This window comes from Homo sapiens, chromosome 11, assembly GCF_000001405.40.
Source record: "Homo sapiens chromosome 11, GRCh38.p14 Primary Assembly".
NCBI lineage: Eukaryota > Metazoa > Chordata > Mammalia > Primates > Hominidae > Homo > Homo sapiens.
This window is the reverse complement of record NC_000011.10, coordinates 119167300-119190220: the sequence shown is the minus strand read 5'-3', so window position 1 is coordinate 119190220 and position 22921 is coordinate 119167300. Positions and strand designations below refer to the sequence as shown.

Here is a 22921-nt window from a genome sequence, read left to right as displayed (position 1 = left end):
AAGTGGATCTTATTTTTATTTTTATTTTTATTTAGTTTTCTTCTTTTTTTGTTTTTGTTGTTGTTTATTTTTAGGAGTGGCTGTCATACAGACATCTCAGTTCTGGGTTGACCCATTATCCCTGAGATTCAGTGATTGATAGGAAATAAATTTGACCAGGTCTCAACCTCTCTCCTGCAGGAGCCGCATCCCACCCCTTGAGCCTGAGGCCCTTTTGGTCCCTTCACACCACTGCCCCTTACCCCCACCAACACAAACACAGGCAGTCAGATTTATGGCGAATGGCCATTTCTATAACAAATGCAACGGTGACCAAGCACCACCCTCCCGCAATGCTAAGGCACCCACAGAGGGCAGGCATAGCTGGTCTCCAAATTTTTGCATTACACTCAAGGGTCCTGGAGTCATATCTAGAAAAGGTCCAGATGGCTTCAATCCTAGCCAGACCCACAGCCACACCTTCATCCTTGGGACACAGCTCTCTAAAACTCCCATATGACATCCTCTGGAGCCTCAGACTCCTTCAGGGACCTGTCTGAGGCCTCCAACCACACCCTCTGCTGGCAGGTGGGCCTGCAGGAAGGGAGGGAGCACCTGGGCCAGCCTGTGATCGGTGGTGTCTGAGTCCCTCTGGTCTGGCTTAGAGAGAGCATCCTGCCTTCACCACCTCAGGCTGGAGAGTGAAGACACGGTAGCCCCTGAGTATGTCTGTACCAAGCAGGGGTGCTCTACAGTAGATCCGAGGCCAGAGCCCAGTCCTATACAGAGAGAGGAGGTAGAAGGTCATTCCAGGTGGGACCCAGAAGAGTTCCTTTTTCTTGCCCCGCCCTGCACTGGAATGCCCAGAAATGGGGTTTATTTCACGAGTCCTTCTGTCCCCACCTACCACGACCTGAAGTCCCAACCTGCATACCCCACACGGCTTCACCTTGTACCTCGCCCACTCTGCCCTTCTTTCTCACTCCTCCCTGCCCTCTGTAGCTACTCACAGTCCCATCTGTTTCTTCTTCCTCACCTCTGCAGCCCCAGGGGGAATCCAGGCTTCCAAGCCCCGCAGAGACCTGGCTGCCAGCTTCAGGCAGAGGGGTGGCTCAGCCTCAGGCAGCTGCTGAAGCCTCTCCAGGTCATTCTGTCCCCCAACAGGATACCCGTTCACTTCCAGAATCACGTCTCCCACTTGCAGCCCAGCCCGGGCAGCTGAGCCTCCTGGAGTCACCTGGTGTTGTGGGGGCATGCAGAACAGGGGACACCGGGGGAAAGTTTGCTGGCTTTAGGCTCTGGGAGGGAAGCAGAGGAAGACCGATCAGGCAGCAAAGGATCGAAGGGATTCAAGATCCATGGGGCATCAGTCACCTGGGAGATGAAGAGACGAGGCCCACTGGCCACACAACTGAGTCGGAAGCCATAGCTGCCACCAGGCCCAGGGTACAGGAAGCACTGTCGGGAGCCAAGAGGGACAGAAGGCACGCTTGTGTCTTCAAGTGAAGGGTCCTCTGTCTCAACCAGTGAGGCTGAGCTGCTGCCCCGGGGCGAGGCGGGAGCCTCTGTGTTCTCCAAGAAGAGGAGTGGGGACAGGCGAACCTGGAAGGTGGCAGGGAGAGCAAATCTTTCGGACCTCAGCCCTGCCCCACTCCTGCCCCAACCCTAGCCCCTGCCCCTCAGCACGCACCATGCTGAAGAAGCGGTCCGCCTCAGGGTCGACGACAGTGAGGGAGACACAGGAGCCCTGCCCCTGGATCCTGGACACTGTCTCCTCATGGCCCAGCCCCTCCACGCTCTCCCCAGCCACAGCCACCAGCCGGTCCCCAGCCTGCATCCCAGCCTTCTTGGCTGGCAGTCCCGGGTCCACCTCCCACAGGAACTGTCCTGGGGCATAGACATCCTCACTGCTCCTCTCCAGCTATCCTAGGCCACTGTGTACACACCAGGGGACTGACCCCAGAGTGAACGGGAAGAGGCGGCCCAGGGCCAGAGCTCAGACAGGGACACCTCTTCGGTGCACTGAAAGGTGTATATACGCTTGTGTGCCCACCCCAAGGCCCACCTTCCCCCACCGCCCCCAGGGCTCCCACTCACCAGGGCGACCGTCAAGGCCCTTTTCCTCCCGGAGCAGGAACCCAAAACCCTGGGGCCCTTTCTCCAGGTGCAGGCAGCGGGGCTTGGTGGGCAGTGCCCAGCCCTCTGCCAGGGGTGCAGCCAGGGGCAATCCCAGCTGGCGACACTGTTCTTCCACCTCTGGCCCTGCCACCAGCAAGGTCACCTGCTGTCCACTCTGCCAAAGCTGTGGGGACCCAGCAGGGCATCAGTATAACACCTGGGCAGGGAGAGAAGAGGTATGCTCCCCCCACAGCCCCTCCTCCCAGGCACTAAGTGGAGCCTGGCACAAACTGTAGAGGGGGAGGATGGTGATAAAGGTAGGAGACCAGATAAGGAGGTTAGGCGCATGGGGAAGGAGGCGTCTTCCCGAGGTGGGGCCCAGGCCCGGATTGGGGGAGGAGAGTGGGAGACAGGCAGTCACACCTTCCTGGTGAGTTGGTTGTGAGTGAACTTCTCCACACTGACCCCATTCACTTCCAGCAGCCGGGCCCCGGGGGGCACCCCTGCCCGCTCAGCTGCTCCTCCAGTACTTAGCACCAACCAGAAAGGACCCTGATTGCCTAGAAATTAAAAAAAAAAGCAAGGTCCAGTCTGTTTCCTGCCTGCCCTGAACAGGGGCTGAGATCCCTCATCCTTGCCGCCCCCTCGCACCCTCTGGGCTCACCATGGGTGACACTGAAGCCAAAACCACCCTCATCTTTCACTATGTGGCACAGCCGGGGCCGGACCCCTGGGCCTAGGGTGGGACAGAGGTGGGCATCTTCTCCCAGCTGAGCTCGGGCCACGTCATGTGCATGCCGTGCCAATACTGTCAGCAACACCCGAGGGCTGCTGGCCCGGATGCGGCGTACCACCTGGACAGAGGGCACGTGGGCGTGGGTTTGGTCTAGACCCTCTTGCCAACCCCCAGGACCTCCCTGGAATCCACATTTTTTTGCCAAGGGAATCGGCTTTTTTTCTTTTTCTTTTTTTTTTTTTTTTTTGAGATGGAGTTTTGCTCTTGTCGCCCAGGTTGGAGTGCAATGGTGCGATCTCAGCTCACCGCAACCTCCGCCTCCCATGTTCAAGTGATTCTCCTGCCTCAGCCCTCCCGAGTAGCTGGGATTACAGGCGCCTGCCACCACGCCCAGCTAATTTCTGTATTTTTAGTAGAGACAGGGTCTTGCCATGTTGGCCAGGCTGGTCTTGAACTCCTGACCTTGGGTGATCCACCTGCCTTGGCCTCCCAAAGTGCTGGGATTACAGGCGTGAGCCACTGCGCCCAGCGGGAATCGGCTTTCTAGATGCTTTCCCTACCCCTCTGACTTGGGCACTTCTAAATCCTGGGGTGTGGGGGAGTGAGGCTTGTGCCCTGCTGCCATACTGCCCAGGGGACTGAGCAACCCGCTTCTCTTTCTGAGGTGCTAGCATGCTCTCCTGGACCACAGCCTTACCACCGCATAGTCTTCGTGTTCCACAACATCATTGTTCACCGCCAGGATCCTGTCTCCTTCCTGAAGACCCTGGCGCTGGGCAGAGGTGCCTGGGTCCACCCTGCACACCACATGCCCAGCCCTGCCCAGCTCCTGCTGCAGGTGGAAGCCAAAACTCTTGCCCTCCTCTTTGCTCAGTAAACAGAAGCGAGGCCGCTCCAGGCTCCAGGGATCTGGAGGGTGAGGTGGGCAGCAGAAAAGGGGGAGGAGAGGGCACAGCCCAAGTACAGGTTCGCCGTGTGCCTGGCAGACCCTGTGTCCTGATAGGGTGCTGGGCAGTTTCTGCCTGGTTGGGTGTTGGGTGGTGGGGTTCGTGGGCAGAGGGACTGGGACAGGAGAAAACACCCGGCCCCTCCTATCTCTACTCCCAACCAAGGCTGTTATCAGAGGGAGACCGAGTGAGTGGTTACCAAGGAGATCGGAGGCCGTGTGGAGCCGTGGTGCCTCCAGGGATAGGGAATGGTTGCCAGGGGGTGAGGGAGTTACCATAGGGGTCGTGGTCTTCGGCCAGGGAGAGGACAGGATTATCAATGCCCAGCTTTGGGTTAAACTTAAACTTCCTGCAAGGAGGCAGGGGAAGCAGGTACAAGCTGGCAGCTGGACTTGGGTCCCAGGATCTCCTTTAGGTGCTAATGGCAGTGAAGCGCTTCGCTGCCTCCAATTATTTCCTCCCCTTGCCCCAACCCTCGTGGCACTTACAGAGTTAACGAGGCTGTGTCCTGCAGATCTACTGGGCAAAGAAGTGGGTGAGAGGAGGAGAGTCACATTCTTCTCCCCAGATGTGCCTCTTCCATTGGCATAAACTAAAAGGACTCAGGGAAACCCCCAAACTCAGGGCATGCCCCCTCCTTTCTGCTCCAAAGGGGTCTTCTCTTCTCACTGCCATACACACAGGACTATTGTGCGGTCCCCTCCCTTTCTCTCCCCCCAAGTCCTTGGCACATAAATCTGAGCATATCAGTACAGGGTGTGGACCAGGAAGACAGACATATCAACTCATTACTTTTCTCCTGACTTGTTTACCTGCCTCAGGGCTCCAAGCCCCAAAATCAAGTGTGCCCTGGTCCCAAAGCTTCAGCCTCCAAGTCGGCCCCCTGCCTGTCCCAAAGTCCCCTGCAGAGGATTTCTCCTGGCCTCCTACCTGCGGCTTTCTCCATAGCTGGATCAGCAACCCAGTGCCCGGGGTAGGGACAAGGTTCATCACAGCCACTGATCCTCCCACCCATCCCCTCCCAGGTCCCGCCTCCTTGAAGACGCTGTGGAAGCAGTGGGGTAATGGTTAACGGGAGTGAGAGTCTTTTTTTTTTTTTTTTTTTTTTTTTTTTTTTGAGACCGAGTTTAGCTCTTGTTGCCCAGGCTGGAGTGCAATGGCATGATCTTGGCTCATCATAACCTCTGCCTCCCAGGTTCAAGCAATTCTCCTGCCTCAGCCTCCCGAGTAGCTGGGATTACAGGCATGCACCACCACACCTGGCTAATTTTGTATTTTTAGTAGAGATGGGGTTTCTCCATATTAGTCAGGCTGGTCTCAAACTCCCCACCTCAGGTGATCTGCCCTCATCGGCCTCCCAAAGTGCTGGGATTACAGGCGTCAGCCACCGTGCCCCGCTGAGAGTCTTATCCTCTGGAAAACTGTGTGGGTTCCTCCTGAATCTATCCCTGGGCCCCAACTTTTTCTGGAGACCCTGAATCTGACCCAGTTGCCCCTCTGTGCAGAGAAAGGCAGATTGCTGGTCACTAACTCCAAGCCTGGGGGGTAAGTGTGAAAAGGGTGATAATTCTATGGCCCATAGTATGGTTTGGCTGTGTCCCTACCCAAATCTCATCTTGAATTGCAGCTCCCATAACTCCCTCGTGTCATGGGAGGTACCCGGTGGGAGGTAATTAAATCACAGGGGCAGGTTTTCCCGTGCTGTTTTCATGATAGTGAATAAGTCTCATGAGATTTGATGGTTTTATAAAGGGGAGTTCCCCGGCACACACTCTCTTGCCTGCTGCTATGTAAGATGTGACTTTGCTCCTCATTTGCCTTCTGCCACGATTGTGAGGCCTCCCCAGCTATGTGGAACTGTGAGTCAATTAAACCTCTTTCGTTTATAAATTTTTTTTTTGACAGAGTTTCACTCTTGTTCTCCAGGCTGGAGTGCAGTGGCACTATCTCGGCTCACGGCAACCTCCACCTCCTGGGTTCAAGCAATACTCTTGCTTCAGCCTCTCGAGTAGCTGGGATTACAAGCATGTGCCATCACACCCAGCTAATTTTGTATTTTTAGTAGAGACGAGGTCTATCCATGTCGGTCAGGCTGGTCTCAAACTCCTGACCTCAGGTGATCCGCTCACCTCGGCCTCCCAAAGTGCTGGGATTACGGGCGTGAGTCACCATGCCCAGCCTCCTTTATAAATTACTTACCCTGTCTTGGGTATGTCTTTATTAGCAGCGTGAGACTGGACTAATACAGCCCAGCATGGCCAACCCCCATGCCAATATCTTGTTCATGGGCCCTTCCAGCCTCCACTGCCTCTGAACCTAGTGCCCAAGAACCACTTGCAATAGATCATGGTTGGTAGTTTAACCAGAAAGACCAAGAACAGTGCCCTTTCTTGGAAGCACCAGGCAGTAAAGAAGAGGCCACAATTGGTAGAAGGCACACGGCTTTTTAATAGCAGCAAGTCAGGTGCATCTGCCTCGAGGGGCTACCAAGCCATCATACCATTGTGGCAAAGGGGGCATGAGGATGAGGAGAAAGCACCAATGTGAGGGCATCCTCGGTGTCCACAGGTGAGCATAAGGCAGGAGGGGAAGCTTCCAACACATCTGGATGGCGACACCCCTGGCATGGCAGACATAAGATGTGAGCCCCTTGGTGACACAGTCAGAGGCTCTTTGAGAGGAGGGGGAGGCAAGGTTGGTAGTGGTGCTTCAGGGCACTCTGGCCATCCAAATGCCACATGCTTTGGTCCTTCTAGCTGAATGGAGAGGAGGCATGTTCCATCTCCAAGCCCGAAGCATTGATTCACCATCTTTAACTTGGAGATTCCAGACTCAGTCCTGGTCAAACATGCCCTAGGAGGGCAACTGGCTCAGCTATGCCCATTCCTCTGCCTCCAGACCTGAAGGAATCTTTCTAGAGGGAGCAGTGCAAGCCAGGAGGCCACAGAGGGAAAAGGTTTAGGGCCAGTGGTCACATAGCTAGGTGCCTGCCGCCAGTGTCTCAGCTTCCAGAGCTTCCCAGCTGCTCCAGGAGGGCCCTGACCTCGCCCTCCACTCGCAGCAGCTGGGCCTTGCGCCAAGGATTAAGGGTGGCACCCCGGCTATCTTCCAGATCCCGCAGTAGGAGCTCAAGGTGTCGCTGAACCCGGGCCCGATCCCAGCTATTGAGGTTCCGCTGGACTTCACTGAGGATCACTGACCAGTATTCTGACACCGCCGTCCCCTCTGTCAGTGACACCACCACCCGGGCACCACCTTCAGCAGCACCCCCCAAGTCTCGCAAGACCTGGCGGCCCTCTGAGCTCAGCTCATTGAAGTAGAGGCTGGCAGGAGAGAGAAAGTCGATGCCATTCAGTAGAGCTCTGAGAAGGAGGGCCCGAGGGTAGATGGATGGAAAGTCAGGGGGCCTCACAACTCATCTCCTGGCTGCAGAGTGCGATCAGGTAACTGCAATGAGCCAGAGGTGGAGGCTGCTGGCCAGTGGGAGGCAGGGACTAATACTAAAATTCTTTTTTTTTTTTGTTTTTGTTTTTGTTTTTGTTTTTGTTTTTTTTGAGATGGAGTCTTGCTCTGTCACCCAGGCTGGAGTGCAGTGGCATGATCTCGGCTTACTGCAACCTCCACCTGCCGGGTTCAGGTGATTCTCCTGCCTCAGCCTCCCAAGTAGCTGGGATTACAGGTGCGCACCACCACACCCAGATAATTTTTGTATTTTTAGTAGAAACGGGGTTTCACCATGTTGGCCAGACTGGTCTTGAACTCCTGACCTCAGGTGATGTGCCCGCCTTGGCCCCCCGAAGTGCTGGGATTACAGACGTGAGCCACCACAGCCGACCCTGATACTAGAATTCAGTGGGACCAGAGACAGTAGGGCTTTAGGAGAAATGGTGGTAGGGAATTGGTGCAGTTTAAGCGCCAGTCACAGAGGGGGTGGGTTGGCTCAGAGCTAGGTTGACAAGGATCAGTCAGAAACCAGGAATAAAGGACAGGCACCAGGCCCAGGCCCAGAAGCACTCCCTAGGATTGGAGGAGCACAGTTGAGAGAGGGAAGTAGTCTGAAGGGCTGGGGGCAATGGGACCAGGGACAGGACTCACTGTAGCAGTTCCAGGGAAGGGTGCTCCCGGGCAGCTCTGGCCAGGGCCAGGGCCGCTGTGTCACCAGCACCGTTGTACGCCACGTTCAGCTCCTGCAGCTGCCGGTTGCGGTCCAGCTGGGCAGCCAGCAGCTCCAGGCCTTCGTCCCCAAGGCCCGTGTGCAGCAGGGACAGGTGCGTCACTGAGGTGTTTCCTGCCAGCCCCTCCATTAGCACGGCAACACCTGCCGCCGTCAGCGGGTTGTTGGACAGCCTACAGCCACGTGCAACCCAAGGTTATGAGGGCTCATTGAGAGGAGGGGGAGGCAAGGTTGGGGGTGGTACTGGCAGCCTTAATGGGGCAGCCCTGTGCTGGGTGTCAGGACTTGGGCCAAAGAGGGCCCTGCATGGGGCAAGAGGAACCTGGACATAGAAATGCAGGCCCAGGAGAAAGGCTGGAGCAATAGGGGGTGTGGCGCCTGGCAGAGGAGTCAGAGTAGGGGAGCTGGCCTTTCCTTCCCTCTTCCCCTGACTCCCTTCTTATCTATTCCCTTCCTTTTCACCATTTCCGTTTCCCTTTTTCTGCCTTTTTCACCCCCTCCACAGCCTCTGCTTCTCCCTCCCCTCTGACTCCCCTATCCTTCTCCCTGCTCTTCCTTTTTCTCTCCTCATTTGCCTCCCCTTACACCAATCAGAAACTGGGAACCCAGGAGCTCAGGTTCCCCACATATCAGTCAACACTTAAGGGGTGTCTACTGAGTGCCCAGCATTAGGGTCCTCCTCGGGAGGCTGCAAGAAAAATCCTGGGAGGGGATCAGTGGCACTGTTACCAGGCAACCGGCCTAGGTATTATTCCACCCTCTCTCCCCACCTCCCCCAGGCTGATTTTAGCCACGTGAGAGGTTTCTTAGCACCCATTACAGGTGGCATGTTTCCCTGCTGCCCTGCTGCTTGCAGTGGACCTGGGGGAAGTGGAGGGGACAGGTCAGGGCCTAGACTCTCCTCCATTTACTATCCCTTGGGTGGGTCTGTGCCAAGTATGTCAGGAAGCAGGGAGCTCACCCTTGACCTTAGCTGGCCACCAGGATGCCCCACTCCCAGGTCACTCACCGCAGTGTGGTAATTTGGCACTGGTCATGCAGCAACAGGTCTCGGAGGTCCTTGCAGGCCTCAGGGCCCAGGCTGTTGAGTTGCAAGCTGGAGCAGAAGGTGGCCAGAGGGGAGGTGAGAGACCAGGGAGGGAATTCAGCAGGCAGTCTGTCCATCTACCATGCCTTTTTTTCATCAGCCTGCCTCTGGGAATCTATACCTGCTTCCCCTTTTTTGAGAGACAGGGTCTCACTCTGTTGCCCAGGTTGGAGCACAATGGCATGATCACAACTCACTGCAGCCTCAGACTCCTGGGCTCAAGCAATCCTCCCACCTCAGCCTCCCGAGTAGCTGGGATGATAGCTACATGCCACCACACCTGACTAATTTTTTAATTTTTTGTAGAGACAGGGTCTTGCTATGTTGCCCAGGATGGTCTCAGACTATTAGGCTCAAGTGATGCTTCTGCCTTGGCCTCCCAAAGCAGTGGGATTACAGGCAGGAGCCACCATGCCTGGCTCCTCCCTTCTGTTGCTCCTGTCACCTCCACCCAAACTAGACTTTTTTTTTTTTTTTTGAGACGGAGTTTTGCTGTTGTTGCCCAGGCTGGAGTGCGATGGCATGATCTCAGCTCACCGCAACCTCCGCCTCCCAGGTTCAAGCAATTCTCCTGCCTCAGCCTCCCAAGTAGCTGGGATTACAGGCATGCACCACCATGCCTGGCTAATTTTGTATTTTTAGTAGAGACAGGGTTTCTCCATGTTGAGGCTGGTCTCGAACTCCTGACCTCAGGTGATACGCCCGCCTTGGGCTCCCAAAGTGCTGGGATTACAGGTGTGAGCCACTGCTCCCGGCCCCTAAACTAGACTTCTTCATCCCACCTTCTGGTCACTCATCGGTACCTCTGGTTTCCCTGGCACTTTCTTTTCCCACTTCTTCACCTCCAACCCTCTTCCCTCTTCATGCCTGTGCATGAGGATAGGTCCTCACCCCAGCTTCCGGGCACGCAGGAAGACAGGCAGGAGTGTGCGCAGCCCAGCAGGATCTAGCTGGCAGGAGGCCAAGTTCACCTCATCCAGGGCATGCCTTCCGCTGCCCAGCACAGCTGCCACCACTGTGCACTTGACTGGTGTCATGCGCACACCTGCCAGGTTGAGCTGACGCAGGGAGCTGAGCACCTCAGCGGAGAAGCGCTGGTTCTGGAACTCATAGTGGAAGAAGAGGTGGTCAAGGAGCTCTGATGGGGGCAGCACCTGCCGGCCCAGCTTGCCCAGCTTCTTCTTGATGGCCTGGGCATTCTCCAGGGCATCCAGGTTCTTGATGGGGCAGCCAAGCTGAGCTAGCACAGCTCGGTTGTGGGCAGAGAGAAGCCCCCCCATGAACATGGGGAAGAGCTCGAAGACTTCATCCTCAGGGGGCTCATCTGGGTGGCGCCGGGGGCCCTCCACGCCCAGGATACTGGCGCCCATCTGGTCCAGAACATCATCGTTGTAGTAGTCCTCCTCTCGAAACATCTCCAGCACCATGGCCTGAGCCACCGCCTCCCGGCTTTTACCCACCATGCGCCCAAACACTCGTGGAACCACCTGAAAAAGAAGCAGGGGAGAGTCACTGTGGCCTTCCATGTGCCTGTTCAGCCTTCAAGGTTCAGCTTAAGGTACACTCCCATGACTGCTCCAGCCCTGTGATCTCCCCTTGAACTTAGCATAATTTGTCTGATCATGCTACTCCCCTGCTGCGACACCTTCCATGGCTCCCTACTGCCTATGTGGCAAACTCCAAACATTTAGCCTGGAATATGAAACGTTTCTTAAAACTAGAGATGGGGTCTTGCTGTGTCACCTAAGCTGGTCTTGAACTTCTGGGCTCCCTAGCTTAGGCCCCCCAAAGTGCTAGGATTATAGGCATAAGCCACTGCACCTGGCCCAAAACTTTTCATAATTTGGCCCTAATTTGACCTTTCCAGGGTCATCTCTCAACACCTGTCTCATGTGCTGCAGACATTAGGAACTTCTTTCTCTTTCCCAAACACCCTGATACATTTTCAAACCCAGGAGGTGGTGAGAAGGAATTAGCATGTATTACACACTTAGTTTGGGACCGGGCTAGGTATCACAAATACATCACCATCTTCAACATGCAGTTCCTACTGCTTTAAGGGCCTGTGTGATCTGGGCCCTGCCGACTACGATGCCTTCATCACAAGCCTCTTGGCCCCACTCGCTATGCTCCTGCCCTTTCGGCTTTTTTCATCTTAACAGTGCCAAGGTTTTTCCTCCTTCAAAGCCTCCATAGGCCAGGTGCAGTGGCTCATGCCCGTAATCCCAGCACTTAGGGAGGCCGAGGTGGGAGGATCACTTGAGCCCAGGAGTTCTAGACCAGCCTGGGCAATGTAGCAAGATGCCATCTCTATTAAAAAAATTTTCTTAATTAAAAATAAATTAGCCAGGCATGGTGGCATGTGCCTGTAGTCCCTTGAGCACTGGAGGTCAGGGATGCAGTGAGCTGAGATCACACCACTGAACTCCAGCCTGGGCAACAGAGCAAGACCCTGTCTCAAGAGAAAAAAAAAAAAAAAAAGCCTCCAGGGTGCTGCCCTTTCCTGGGGCATTTCCCCTCCCCCAACTTCTTCCTTTGGCTAATGCTACAAGGGTCAGACGACATGCCCTTCCACAAAGAGGCTCTCCTGACCCCGCAGACCAGTTCCCCCACTATACACTTTCATGGCATCTGGGGCTCCTTCTTCCCAGGCATTTGCTGTAATTTTTCCTTATATGGTTACATTGATATTTTTGTGCTCAAACTGTGCAGGAAGTAGCAGTTTCCTTCTGGGAGAGGAGCTCAGACTAGATCAGAAAGGGCTGAAACCTGTAGTTTTGTTAACTGACATTTCCTCAGATTCTAACACATTGCCTGGCACACAGCAGGCACTCAAATATCTGACAAAGAAATAAATGTTGGGGGTTTGTGATATCTTCCCCCATTCCTGCAATGGTTCTGAAAGGGAAGAAGGGTCATTCCTCTGGCAACAAACCATGACGTTGTTTTGTGGCACGTCCTTTAACATCTGGGTTTTTTTTACTTTTTAATGTTTTAATTTTTATTTGTTTAGAGACAGAGTCTTGCTGTGTCACCTAGGCTGGAGTGCAGTGGTGTGATCATAGCTCACTGTAGCCTTTAACTCTTAGGCTCAAGCGATCCTCCTGCCTTGGCCTCCTGACAGCTGTGACTACAAGTGTGCCCCACTGCACCTGGCTTGTTTTCATGTTTATATGTGAGGTTACTCTCATAGAGGTGATAGTGCCCCTTCTCCAACACCAACCTGTGACAGAATATGTCACCCTGTGAAGCTGAATCCACAGGATGGTGAATAAACAGATGGGCTCAGTGCTCTGCCAGGGCAACCCTCCCTCCAAGAGGGCTTGGGGGTGCAGGGCTGACAATTCTGCTGGGTTTTCAATAACTGGGGGCTTTCTGAATCCCCTCGGGAGACTGCAGCCTCTCGTTGCAACTCAGGTCCGGCAGGCACATCCTCAAGGCGGGGTGGCCTCAGCAGCAGCTGTGACCTCCTGTCGGAGGTGATGTGTGAGAAGGGGTGGGCTGCCCGAGCCTGTTTCTTTGTTTCTTTCTTTTTTCTTTTTTTTTTTTTGTGAGACAGAGTCTCGCTCTGTCACCCAGGCTGGAGTACAGTGGCGCGATCTCAGCTCACTGCAACCTCCACTTCCTGGGCTCAAGAGATTCTCCTGCCTCAGCCTCCCGAGTAGCTGGGATTACAGACACGTGCCACCACACCCGGCTAATTTTTGTATTTTTAGTAGAGATGGGGTTTCACCATGTTGGCCAGGCTGGTCTGGAACTAAGTCTGTTTCTATGTGTGACAAACAATTAAACAGCATAGGCCGGGCGTGGTGGCTCACTCCTGTAATCCCAGCACTGTGGGAGGCTGAGGTGGGTGGATCACCTGAGGTCAGGAGTTCAAGACCAGTCTGGCCAACATGGAGAAACCCTGTCTCTACTAAAAATACAAAAATAAGCCGGGCATGGTGGCAGGTGCCTGTAGTCCCAGCTACTTGGGAGGCTGAGCTGGGAGAATCACTTAAATCCGGGAGGTGGAGGTTGCAGTGAGCAGAGACGGTGCCACTGCACTCCAGCCTGGGCGACAGAGCGAGACTCCATCTCAAAAAAACAAACAAACAAAAAACAATTAAATAGCACTTACCATGTCCTAGACCCTGAGGATGAGTTCATTTCATCTTCATATTAGGCCAGTGATATAAGTTCTAGTATTATCTCCATTTCACAGATAAGGAATCTGAGGCACAGAACTAAGTAACCTGTCCAAAGTCTCACAGCTAATAAGTAGCAGAGCCTGGATTTGAACTCAAATAGCTGAGTTACCAAATCCCTGTTCTTAGCCCTTATGCTTTGGTGCCTATAAAAATAAAAAGTTGGCTGGGCACAGTGGTTCACACCTGTAGCCCAGCACTTTGGGAGGCCAAAGTGAGAGGATCACTAGTGAGACCCCATCTCTACAAAATTAAAAATTTTTTATTTTTTAATTTAATTTAATTTTGTTATTATTATTTTTTTATTTTTGAGAGGGAGTCTCTGTTGCTCAGGCTGGAGTGCAGTGGCGCAATCTTGGCTCACTGCAACCTCTGCCTCCCAGGCTCAAGCAATTCTCCCGTCTCAGCCTCCCAAGTAGCTGGGATTACAGGCACCCGGCACCACACTTGGTTAACCATGTTGGCCAGGTTGGTCTCAAACTCCTGACCTCAGGTGATCTACCTGCCTCGCCTCTCAAAGTGCTGGGATTACAGGCGTGAGCCACTGCACCCGGCTACAAAATTAAAATTTTAAAAATTAGCTGGGGATGGTGGCACATGCCTGAGGTCCCAGCTACTCAGTGAAGTTGAGGTGGGAGGATTGCTTGAGCCCAGAAGGTCGAAGCTGCAGTGAGCTATGATTGCACCACTGCACTCTAGGCCTGGGCAACAGAGTAAGACTCTGTCTCAAAAAATAAAAATAAAAATACATTTAAATTTTTAAAAAGTGTTGAAATTCTGCCAGCACTAACCAGCACTCTGCCTCCTCAAAATGCGTTGCTGAAACATTCCTAGAGAAAACAAAGGTTACCTAGCAAGGTCCCACAGCTCGACAGACATATCCGTAATGCACCAGTATAGTTTGGCAGAAAGAGCACAGGATTCAGAATCACAAAGCCCTGGGCTTTTAAACTTACTATTTGAGTGATCTTGGACAAGTTACTTTACCTCTCTGAGCCTCAGTTTATTCATCTATAAAAGGGATCATAATAGTATTTCCTTTCCAGGAGTAATGTGAAAAACAAAAGGATGAACACTGATAACGCGCCTGGCACACATCACACAGAGTGGCTCCTTCCAGCCCTCAAAGACCTCGCTCAGCTGTGCCACTCACAGCACAGTCCTCAGGTCTGTAATTTGGTTTCTGGAGTGGACCTGCCCTCATGATGACTCCCCTAAGCCAATTACCAATGCCATTTATCTTCCTAGTATAAATGAATAAAATGGCATCTGCTTTATAAACCCGTCTCTGGTGATTTAGTTAGGATGAGTCATCACTCTCAGAGCCTAATCACCTCTGGAGGAGCAGACACAATCGAGTTTCTGGACCTGCAAAGCAGAGGATAGGCCTGCCTCCTAGGAGGAAAGACACAAAAAGGAAACCATTTTTAGGAATCCATGTAGCATTATTATTAAAGTCCCCACGTCCCCAGGTTCCCTTCCCCAGCCACCAAGCCTTCCCCAGCCTTGTGGCTTCTCTCTCTGCAATCCCACTAAAAGCCAAAATGCTCAGAGCTGAAACCAGATCCAGGGAGAAGATTCATACCTTTGCAGGAAGCAGCAGTTTCCTGCTGGGAGAGGAGCAAGGGGTGAACAGGGAACCATGTGGGGGCGTGGGCGGCTTGGGGTGCTGGGGAGGGAAGGAGCAGGTTGGGGGGTTACCTTGATCGGGATGTTACCTTGATCAGGTTGAAGAGCAGAGGCAGAGCCCGCAGAGGCAGCAGCTTGGCCATGATGCCCAGTACCAGGCTGACGTCCTCCCCAACACGGCCCACGAGCTCAGCCACTTCCTTGCCCACCTTTTGCAGGGTCGTCTTGCGCAAACCCAGCACAATGTAGAGGGCAGCCAGGTATTCCTGCATGGCGGGCACGGTGAACACGAAGGTGCCTGCACGCCCTGGCTCCACACATGGGGCCAGGAAAAACCTCAGGGCATCCCGACGGAAGATGTGCAGCAGCTGAAACTCCTCCTCCGTCCTGATGCCAGCCTCCAGGCAGCCACAGACATCCTCTTCAGAGAAGTAGGTCTTGCGGGAGGACACCCCCTCATAGGCCAACTTGCCCATGGTTCGGGCTGCATAGGCCATCAGGGACAAATTGGAGGGGTCAGTGCTGTCCAGGGTTTCCCCGCTGAAGTTGAGGCGCAGGAAGCTGGTATAGATGCTTGTAAGGGTCTGCCCAGCAGGCGTGGGGGCATGCAGGAAGTGCAAGGTGGCACAAACGAGCCAGCAATAGGACGGCAGGAAGCAGGCAGCGGCTATCTGGTGGTGCCCCTCCAGGTTCCGGGAGAGCATCTGCACCAGGTGGTCACGCTGAGCTGGTGTGGCAGAGACACCTGAACCGCCAACGGCATACCCGCAGTACGGCTGGTTGAGGCGGAGCTGGAAGTAGAGCTTCTGCAGGTTGGTATCAGAGAAACCGCAGATCTCACCATAGCGGCCCACGTACTTGCTGGGGATACGGCCAATGGCAGAGGGCCGAGTGGTCACCAGAATGCTGGCCTGGGAAGAGCATGGTTGAGAGTTAAGAAAGACCTTAGTGTCCTGTTGACTGCTTCTATTCCCAGGGGACCCCTGAAGACGGAGTGTCCAAGGATGAAGACATTGATGAGGATAACAGTTATAACTAGCAATTACTGAACACCTGCTGTGATCCAGGCCGCTGTGCTAATATTATATGCAGTACCCCATTTGATCAGAGCAACTCAAAAAGAAAGGAACAGAAGGCTGGGGAAGTTACTGACTTGCTCAGGGTCGCACCACTGGGAAGTGAAGGGACCAGGAGTTAAAGTAACCCAGGACCTAGGGGGCGAGTCAACGGGCAGCAGTGATAACCTGGGGTAAAGGGCCACCCACCTGAGGCAGCATGTATTTGCGCAGCAGGTTGACGATGATAGCAGCTGGTTCCTGCGGTTCCTCCGGGTCACTACAAAGTCCCGTGCCTGCCAGCCGGAAGTCGAGGTTGAGATGCTCTAAGCCATGGAGCACAAAGAGGAGGTGGGACCCAGCAGCAGCCATCAGGGGCAGAACCTCCTTCAGGGGCGTGTAGCGCTGGGCCACAAGTTGGCACAGGGAGGCTGGGGCAGGGCCCAGGGATGACAGGTCCTCACAGGAGAAGGGGATGAGCAGCTCGAAGGCCGGCAGCCGCCCATAACACCAGTCCAGAACCATCTTGCGCACCAGCGTGCTCTTGCCTGTGCCCACTGTCCCATACAGCACCACTGTCTGCACCCGGCGCCCACAGGCATCCGGGTTAAAGAGCTGAGACAAGGCCAGTGGGGGGAGCCCGGCCTGGGGTGGCTGATGCTCCAGGGCCAGCTCCGCGGGTGGGCGAAGTAGCTCATCAGGGGTACTCTCGCGGATCACAGGGTCAACGTGGACCGTGTCTAGGGCAAAGGTTGGGCCAAACTGGCGCTCCTCCCTGGGCAGCCGGCTGAACCACTCAGCCAGGTTCCGGCGGTGCCGCTGTATAGCTTCTGAGTGGGAAGATAAGGGAAATGTGTCAGGGAAAGGGGCCTGGAGATGTAGCTTAGGGCCAATCAGGGCGGTGGTGAGGTCAGGCTGGGACATCACGGCATAGATGCTGGGGCCCACAATGGTGGGCACACAAGACTCCCTGAGAAAATATAGACTGTCCAGAAAGTCTGGAACCCCTATGTCAGAAAGTGGGAAGCCACTGGACAAACTGGTTTCACAGTGACCTATGTGCCGTCTTAACCTGCTTGACCCAACTTTGTTGAGCATAGGGATGGTATGGCTCTCCTAGCGCTTTGTACATATAAGTGTGCATTGCAAGAGTATTGCAGGAAGGGATACATAGACGGATGGGAGGGAGAGAGAGAGAGGAGGAGGGACCACCGATGGAAGATGGCAGTGGATCCTCTATGCCTCCCTCACCCTGCTTCTCCTTCCAGCCCCGTCTGCCCACCACACCCCCTGACCAGGGTCCCAGCCAGTCCCTTTACCAGTTGCAGAGGCGCTGGGGAACAGCCGTCCATGCCTCCCGGGTGGGGGAGCGCTATCTACCGAGCTTCCGTGGTGGCGTATAAAGGCCCTGGGAACAAGGAGAGGGGATGAGCTGGGACTTGTAACTTGGATCAGCCCCTTCACAGGCTCTGGGTCCAAGCCTATCTGCACTGCTAGACTTCTGGTTTCCTGAGATAAAGGCCCCACACTGGACCCCCAAGTTTAGAGGCTTGTCTGACTCTCACACCCTTCCCAGGTGCTGAGGCCTTAGCCCTAGCCCTCCAGACCCCACTGCTGACTGCCCGCCTGGAACTCAGGCTGGCCATGTGAGGCTCCACCCACTTCCCACAGGGTCCTCCCTCCACTGACTACTATGCCTTCTACCACAGATGATCTAAGCCAACTTCCTCTCAGGCCTTGGAGCTGCCACTGTCCTCCCACCCCCAAAGGACCAAGCCCCTCCCCAAGGTCCCCAAGAGATCAAGCTAGCCCCAAGTCCTGACCCTTCCCAGTCTGCTCTGTTGTGCCCAGACTAGTCCTAAGGTATGACACCCAGGCCTCACCTAGGGGGCCCAAAGGGACGCTCCCCTTGAAGGGGCCAACTCCAGTGGATCAGGAAGGGGATACGATCATCTACAGAGAGAAGGAAGAAATAGCATCTGCAGATCCCATGCAATACACAGAACCCATGTCTACATCAAACCCCCCAGTATTTGCTCTCATAGCAGCATGTACTGCCCCTTTGCAGCAGTTATTTTGCAATTTTATATTTCATTGTGTGATTATTCGATTAACATTCATTCCTCTCTCCTCCATGAGAGGGATCACATTTGGGTGTTTTAAAATTTTTTTGTCCCCTTTACGTCTGTTTTTGTTCACAATTATTTACTTAGAACTTAACACCAGGTCTGCGGTACGGCAGGCACTCAGTAAATCTCTGTTGTATGTAAAGTAAAATCAGACAAGTTCCTAGACTTATGTAGCTACAAGAGACTCTCGAAGATGATCTAGTCCAACTCTCTTTTTTTTTTTTTGAGACAGAGTCTTACTCTATTGTCCAGGCTGGAGTGCAATGGTGCGATCTCAGCTCACTGCAACTTCTGCCTCCCGGTTCAAATGATTCTCCTGCCTCAGCCTCCCAACTAGCTGGGATTACAGGTGTGCACCACTACACCTGGTTAATTTTTTTTTTTGTAGTTTTAATAGAGACAGGGTTTCACCATGTTGCCAGGCTGGTCTCAAACTCCTGATCTTGTGATCCGCCTGCCTCGGCCTTCCAAAGTGCTAGGATTACAGGCATGAGCCACCGCACCTGGCCAAGTCCAACTCCCTTATTTTAGGTTGGGAAAAAGGCAGCTGAGGAAGGTGAAGCGACATGCTCAAGGTCAACAGCTAGAGAACCACGGAGCTGAGACTAGTGCACCTGGTGTCTGGATCCCTGCTGTCTTGGAGGCATCATGTGGACCCTGGAAAGCAAGAAAGAGGTAAAAACAGAAACCCCTGCTTCCTGCTCACCTGGTCGCTGGAGTGCTCTTCTAAAACCAGAGCCCCAAGAGGCCCTGGGCAAATGGTGGCCCCACCTCATCCTGGGAAAGAAGGTCAGAGCCTGGGGGGCCTAGGACCGACTTCTGTCCTGCAAGAAGAATAGTACGAATGGATCACTGCCACCACTCCTCCCCTGCACCCCTAACCCCATTCCAGCCAAGGAGGGACCTTCCTCCCAGGAGAGGATCAGCCCTTCCTCAAATGTTGGCCCTGCTGAAGCCCTGGCCTGGTTTTCAGCTCTCGTCCCTCTCCCAAACTCCAGCTTGAGGAATCCCATTTTATCTCCTACCACCTTTTTTTTCTTTTTTCTTTTTTGAGATGGAGTGCCCCTCTGTTGCCCAGGCATGATTGTGGCTCATTGAAGCCTATGCCTCCCGGGCCCAAGCGATTCTCCTGCCTCAGCCTCCCAAGTAGCTGGGATTACAGGCGCCCACCACCACACTGGGCTAATTTTTGTATTTTTAGTAGAGACGGGGTTTACCATGTTGGTTAAGCTGGTCTTGAACTTCTGACCTCAGGTAATCTGCCTGCCTTGGCCTTGCAAAGTGCTGGGATTACAAGTGTGAGCCATCACACCTGGCCTTCCTGCCACGTCTTGCCTCTCCCCTGAAGCTTCACGAACACCTTTCCCTGAGTTCCACCCTGGTAAACTGCTTTATTTAGGTGTCCTTTTTCCTTCTTGGCCACCAGCAAGCTCAGATAGGAGTCCTGTGTTCATTTTCAGTGGCTTTTCTGTGCCTAGATTTTCCAGTAATAATTATCCACCCCACTCTGCCTTTCTTCCGCAGATATCAGATCCTTTTAGCTGAGTTTTAATGGCTTCATCATTTTATGTTCTCTGTGACTTTTATGTAAGCAGCCTTTGAGGCTGACATAAATAATAAATAAATGAATGAACTTCTCACTTGACATCTCCAGATGGACAACCTGCCACTGCTTCAAACTTCTCCCATGTAAAACTGAACTCATCATTCCCCTCCTCTTGTCATTTACCTTGCTGCAAATCTTCCCACCCACGCCTTACATTAGAAACCTGACCTCTCTCTTCAAATCTTTCTTCCCTTGCTCCTTTAGGCAGTGTGAAGAGTCCTAGCAATTCCTCCCCACTGCTTTGCCAGCCAGTTGCTGCCCCGACCAGCATTTATTGGACCCGATCTCCTCACCAGCCTTTCTGCCTTCAGTCTCATCCCATTCTAATCCCTCACCCCAAGCACCAAGCACCTCCCGAAAAGTCCAAGGTTACTTATAGAGTCCAAACACTGGGCTCCCACAAGCTATTTTTCTGAGTTTGTCCCAGCCTGTGCCTTATACCCCAGGCTCACCGGATTCTTGCTCTTGCTGTCCTAAATTTGTTCATACACTCTTCCCAGTTTGGAATGACCTTTTTCCTCTGTTAGAGTCCCAACCAATTTTTTTTTTTTTTTTTTTTTTTTTTTTTTTTTTCCTGAGACAGGGTCTCTCGCTCTGTTGCCCAGGCTGGAGTGCAGTAGTACGATCTCAGCTCACAGCAACCTCTACCTCCTGGGCTCAAGCCATCCTCCTGCTTCAGCCTCCTGAGTAGCTAGGACTAAAGTGGTGTGCCACCACACCTGGCTAATTTTTGGCTTTGGTTTTTGTAGAGACGGGGTTTTCACCATTGTTGCCCAGGGTGGTCTCGAACTCCTGGGCTCAAGTGATCCGCCCGCCTTGCCCTCCCAAAGTGCGGGGACTGCAGGCGCGAGCCACCACTCGGGCCCCAACCAATCTTTTAAGATCCTGCTCAAAAGTCTCCGTCCCTGGGAAGTCTTTTCTGAGGCCTCTGAACTCACTTAAATGGAATGTGCCCCTATTTGGCACCTGGTCTCCTCCACTGAGATCGGGGCTTCTTGGGCAGGGTACGCTTAAGGAGAACTGGCTGCATTGGGCCACCTGCCTTAGCAGGGCCAACCAGCGGAGGAGCTGGCTGGGTGCTGGCCCGTCCCAGGGGCTGCGGAAGGGTTAAGAGAGGGCTCCAGAAGCCTGAGAAAGCCTAGGTTCCGGTTTAACCTCGGATCTAGGGCCACTGAGTCAAGACGGGACTTGCGGGGCCGAGGGCAGTTCTCCGGTGATCACCCAGGTCTCCAGGGCAATGAGAAAAGGAGGGGGCACTGCAGGAAACGTACAGGGGCGGTGTTCCTACAGGTCCAGAGCTCCTCCACCAAACTGGGTCCCAAACAGCTCTCCTACTTTCGGGTGGCCTCGGGAACGCAGGGGGAGACTTGCCAGAACGCCCGCCATTCAGCGCCCAGCTCCGTCCCTCTCGTTCTCGGCCGGGATCTCCCCGCGGCCCTTGCACAGCCTCCTCCCCCGGCCCGCCCTGCCCCCCGCTCAGCGCGGCCTCCCAGCCAGGGCGCAGGGGTTATCAAGCCCGCTAGGCCTTTACCCGCGGCTGCCCAGTTCCGGGAGCCGTCGGCCGCGGCCCAGAGGGGTCGGCTGGGCGGACGCCGGCGTCTCCCGCTAGCTCCCAGAGTCCCCGGCTCCTCGGCGTGGCGCTTCCTGCCCACCTCCGCCCGCCTGCGCGGCCCTGGCACCTGGCAGCGGGCGCGAAAGAGGACGAGCCCAGGCACTCGGGCCTGCGGGGTCCTGGGACGAGGGGGTCAGCGAGAGGGGCCCGGTGCTCCGGAGCAGGCGCAGGGCTGGAACCCCGGCGCCACCCGTCCCGCCATCGTCCCCCCTCCCTGCCTCCATCCCCGCGGGCACTGCCGCTAGTACTGCCCTCTGCAGGTTCCCAAGCGCCAGTGACACCCAGTGACCTCACTAACCACCTCCCAGGCTGGGCTGCTTGTTAGGCCCATTTTACAGATGAAGAAACTGATGCTCAGAAGGGTGAAATGACTTGTGCAGGTTGATTCAGTTAGGAAGTGGATGAGCCAGAACAACATCCCGGGCCTGAGTCTTCCTACCTTACCCCTGGGCCTCCCTGAGGCGCGGTGTCCAGGGGATTCTTCCCTCTGTCCCTCTCCGCCTCCCCAGCCTACCTTCAGGCAGAGACCTGAGCCTAAGGCTTCCTTGGGTTCTGCCTTATGTATCCGGTCCTCTTCAGAGCCCAGACCTATGTGTGTGGCTGCTGGTAACCTTGGTTAAGAAAGAAGGAAGAATGGGGGCTGAAGGACAACTTGCACCCCAACCTGCTCTTCGGGTCTGACACCCATTCATGGCCTAGCCCTGGGGCTTCCCAGTTCCCAAAGCCCCCACCCTTATCCCTACACTTCCACACACTTCCACACCCTGGGCTCACGTAGCCCAGAAGGAGGAGCCACCCACCACCCACAGCCAGGGCACGCCTTCGTATGCAAGCATGAGTGTACGATGTTCACACAACAGAGCTGTGCACTAGGGCACCCACAGAGAGGCTCTCCAGGGCAGGGCTGGGAAGAGGACTTACTGAAAACAATGTGGATGTTTCATTTAGACATTTGTTCATTCGTTGTACTGTGGTATTGGGTAGCACTGAGCACCTCACCCCCACAAGCCAGGTCCAGCACTAGGCCCTGGGCTGCCAACCACAGCAAGGCAGGCACCTCACTTTAATGGAATCAACTACCACATTTACAAATGATGTACTTCAAGGCCGAGGCAGGAGGATCACTTGAGACCAGGAGTTTGAGACCAGCCTGGGTGACATAGTGAGACCCTGTCTCTATTTAAAATGAAAATAGAAAATAAAAATATAAAAAACAGACAAACAAATGATGTACTTCAGTGGCAGAGGCAAGGCATTAGGAGAGTCTGGAAAAGGGAGTGCAGAGGAGGTAACATTTGTACTGGATCTGAAAAAATAAATCAGAGGACCAGCCGCGGTGGCTCACACCTGTAATCTCAGCACTTTGGAAGGCTGGGGGTGAGGGCAGATCTCCTGAGGCCAGGAGTTTGGGACCAGCTCAAACTCGTCACCATGGCCAACATGGTGAAACCCCCGTCTCTACTAAAAATAACAAAAATTGGCCAGGCATGGTGGCTCATGCCTGTAATCCTAGCACTTTGGGAGGCCAAGGCAGGCGGATTGCCTGAGCTCAGAAGTTCACGACCAACCTAGGCAACGTGGTGAAACCTCATCTCTACTAAAAATACAAAAATTAGCCGGGCTGGGTGGTGCATGCCTGCAGTCCCAGCTACACAGGAGGCT

General features: G+C 54.2%; 2 protein-coding genes across 22 annotated transcripts, besides 4 other annotated features; both read right to left on the bottom strand.

Annotated features, from left to right (window-relative positions):
* Positions 1-7: 7 nt before the first annotated feature.
* NHERF4 (NHERF family PDZ scaffold protein 4) lies at positions 8-4746 on the bottom strand. Of its 11 annotated transcripts, none has more exons than NR_033122.2 (11): positions 4711-4746; positions 4269-4296; positions 3980-4129; positions 3531-3742; positions 2762-2951; positions 2521-2657; positions 2077-2281; positions 1670-1866; positions 1354-1581; positions 1016-1216; positions 8-758 (listed from the first exon to the last, which is right to left on the bottom strand). NR_033122.2 is itself a non-coding variant. In XM_011543005.3 (11 exons), the coding sequence occupies exons 1-11, from the start codon at positions 4724-4726 to the stop codon at positions 729-731; spliced, it is 1521 nt and encodes a 506-aa protein (XP_011541307.1). In that variant the 5' UTR covers positions 4727-4746; the 3' UTR covers positions 8-728. The 11 variants fall into 11 exon arrangements, 10 of the variants coding, with proteins under 10 accessions (XP_011541307.1, NP_001161940.1, NP_079067.3 ...); XM_011543005.3 differs by having other exon boundaries at positions 4056-4129; positions 4269-4299; NM_001168468.2 differs by having other exon boundaries at positions 4056-4129.
* NLRX1 (NLR family member X1) lies at positions 6205-21887 on the bottom strand. Of its 11 annotated transcripts, none has more exons than NM_001282358.2 (10): positions 21774-21887; positions 18748-18865; positions 17796-17865; positions 17232-17320; positions 16123-16742; positions 14947-15768; positions 9933-10528; positions 8964-9050; positions 7876-8127; positions 6205-7103 (listed from the first exon to the last, which is right to left on the bottom strand). In NM_001282358.2, the coding sequence occupies exons 2-10, from the start codon at positions 18815-18817 to the stop codon at positions 6782-6784; spliced, it is 2928 nt and encodes a 975-aa protein (NP_001269287.1). In that variant the 5' UTR covers positions 18818-18865; positions 21774-21887; the 3' UTR covers positions 6205-6781. The 11 variants fall into 11 exon arrangements, with proteins under 11 accessions (NP_001269287.1, XP_011541282.1, NP_001269073.1 ...); XM_011542980.2 differs by having other exon boundaries at positions 21788-21887; NM_001282144.2 differs by lacking the exon at positions 21774-21887 and adding an exon at positions 20919-21496.
* Positions 19996-20700: an enhancer, noted in NCBI's record as "H3K27ac-H3K4me1 hESC enhancer chr11:119040230-119040934 (GRCh37/hg19 assembly coordinates)". NCBI's record gives its function as "activates a minimal SCP1, AML or CMV promoter by ChIP-STARR-seq in naive H9 embryonic stem cells {active_cell/tissue: H9 hESC(naive)}" and the evidence as "EXISTENCE:reporter gene assay evidence [ECO:0000049][PMID:30033119]".
* Positions 20701-21406: an enhancer, noted in NCBI's record as "H3K27ac-H3K4me1 hESC enhancer chr11:119039524-119040229 (GRCh37/hg19 assembly coordinates)". NCBI's record gives its function as "activates a minimal SCP1, AML or CMV promoter by ChIP-STARR-seq in naive H9 embryonic stem cells {active_cell/tissue: H9 hESC(naive)}" and the evidence as "EXISTENCE:reporter gene assay evidence [ECO:0000049][PMID:30033119]".
* Positions 20701-21587: a biological region, named in NCBI's record as "H3K27ac-H3K4me1 hESC enhancer GRCh37_chr11:119039524-119040229".
* Positions 20978-21587: a silencer, noted in NCBI's record as "silent region_3972". NCBI's record gives its function as "represses an Ori minimal core promoter by ATAC-STARR-seq in GM12878 lymphoblastoid cells {active_cell/tissue: GM12878}" and the evidence as "EXISTENCE:reporter gene assay evidence [ECO:0000049][PMID:35858748]".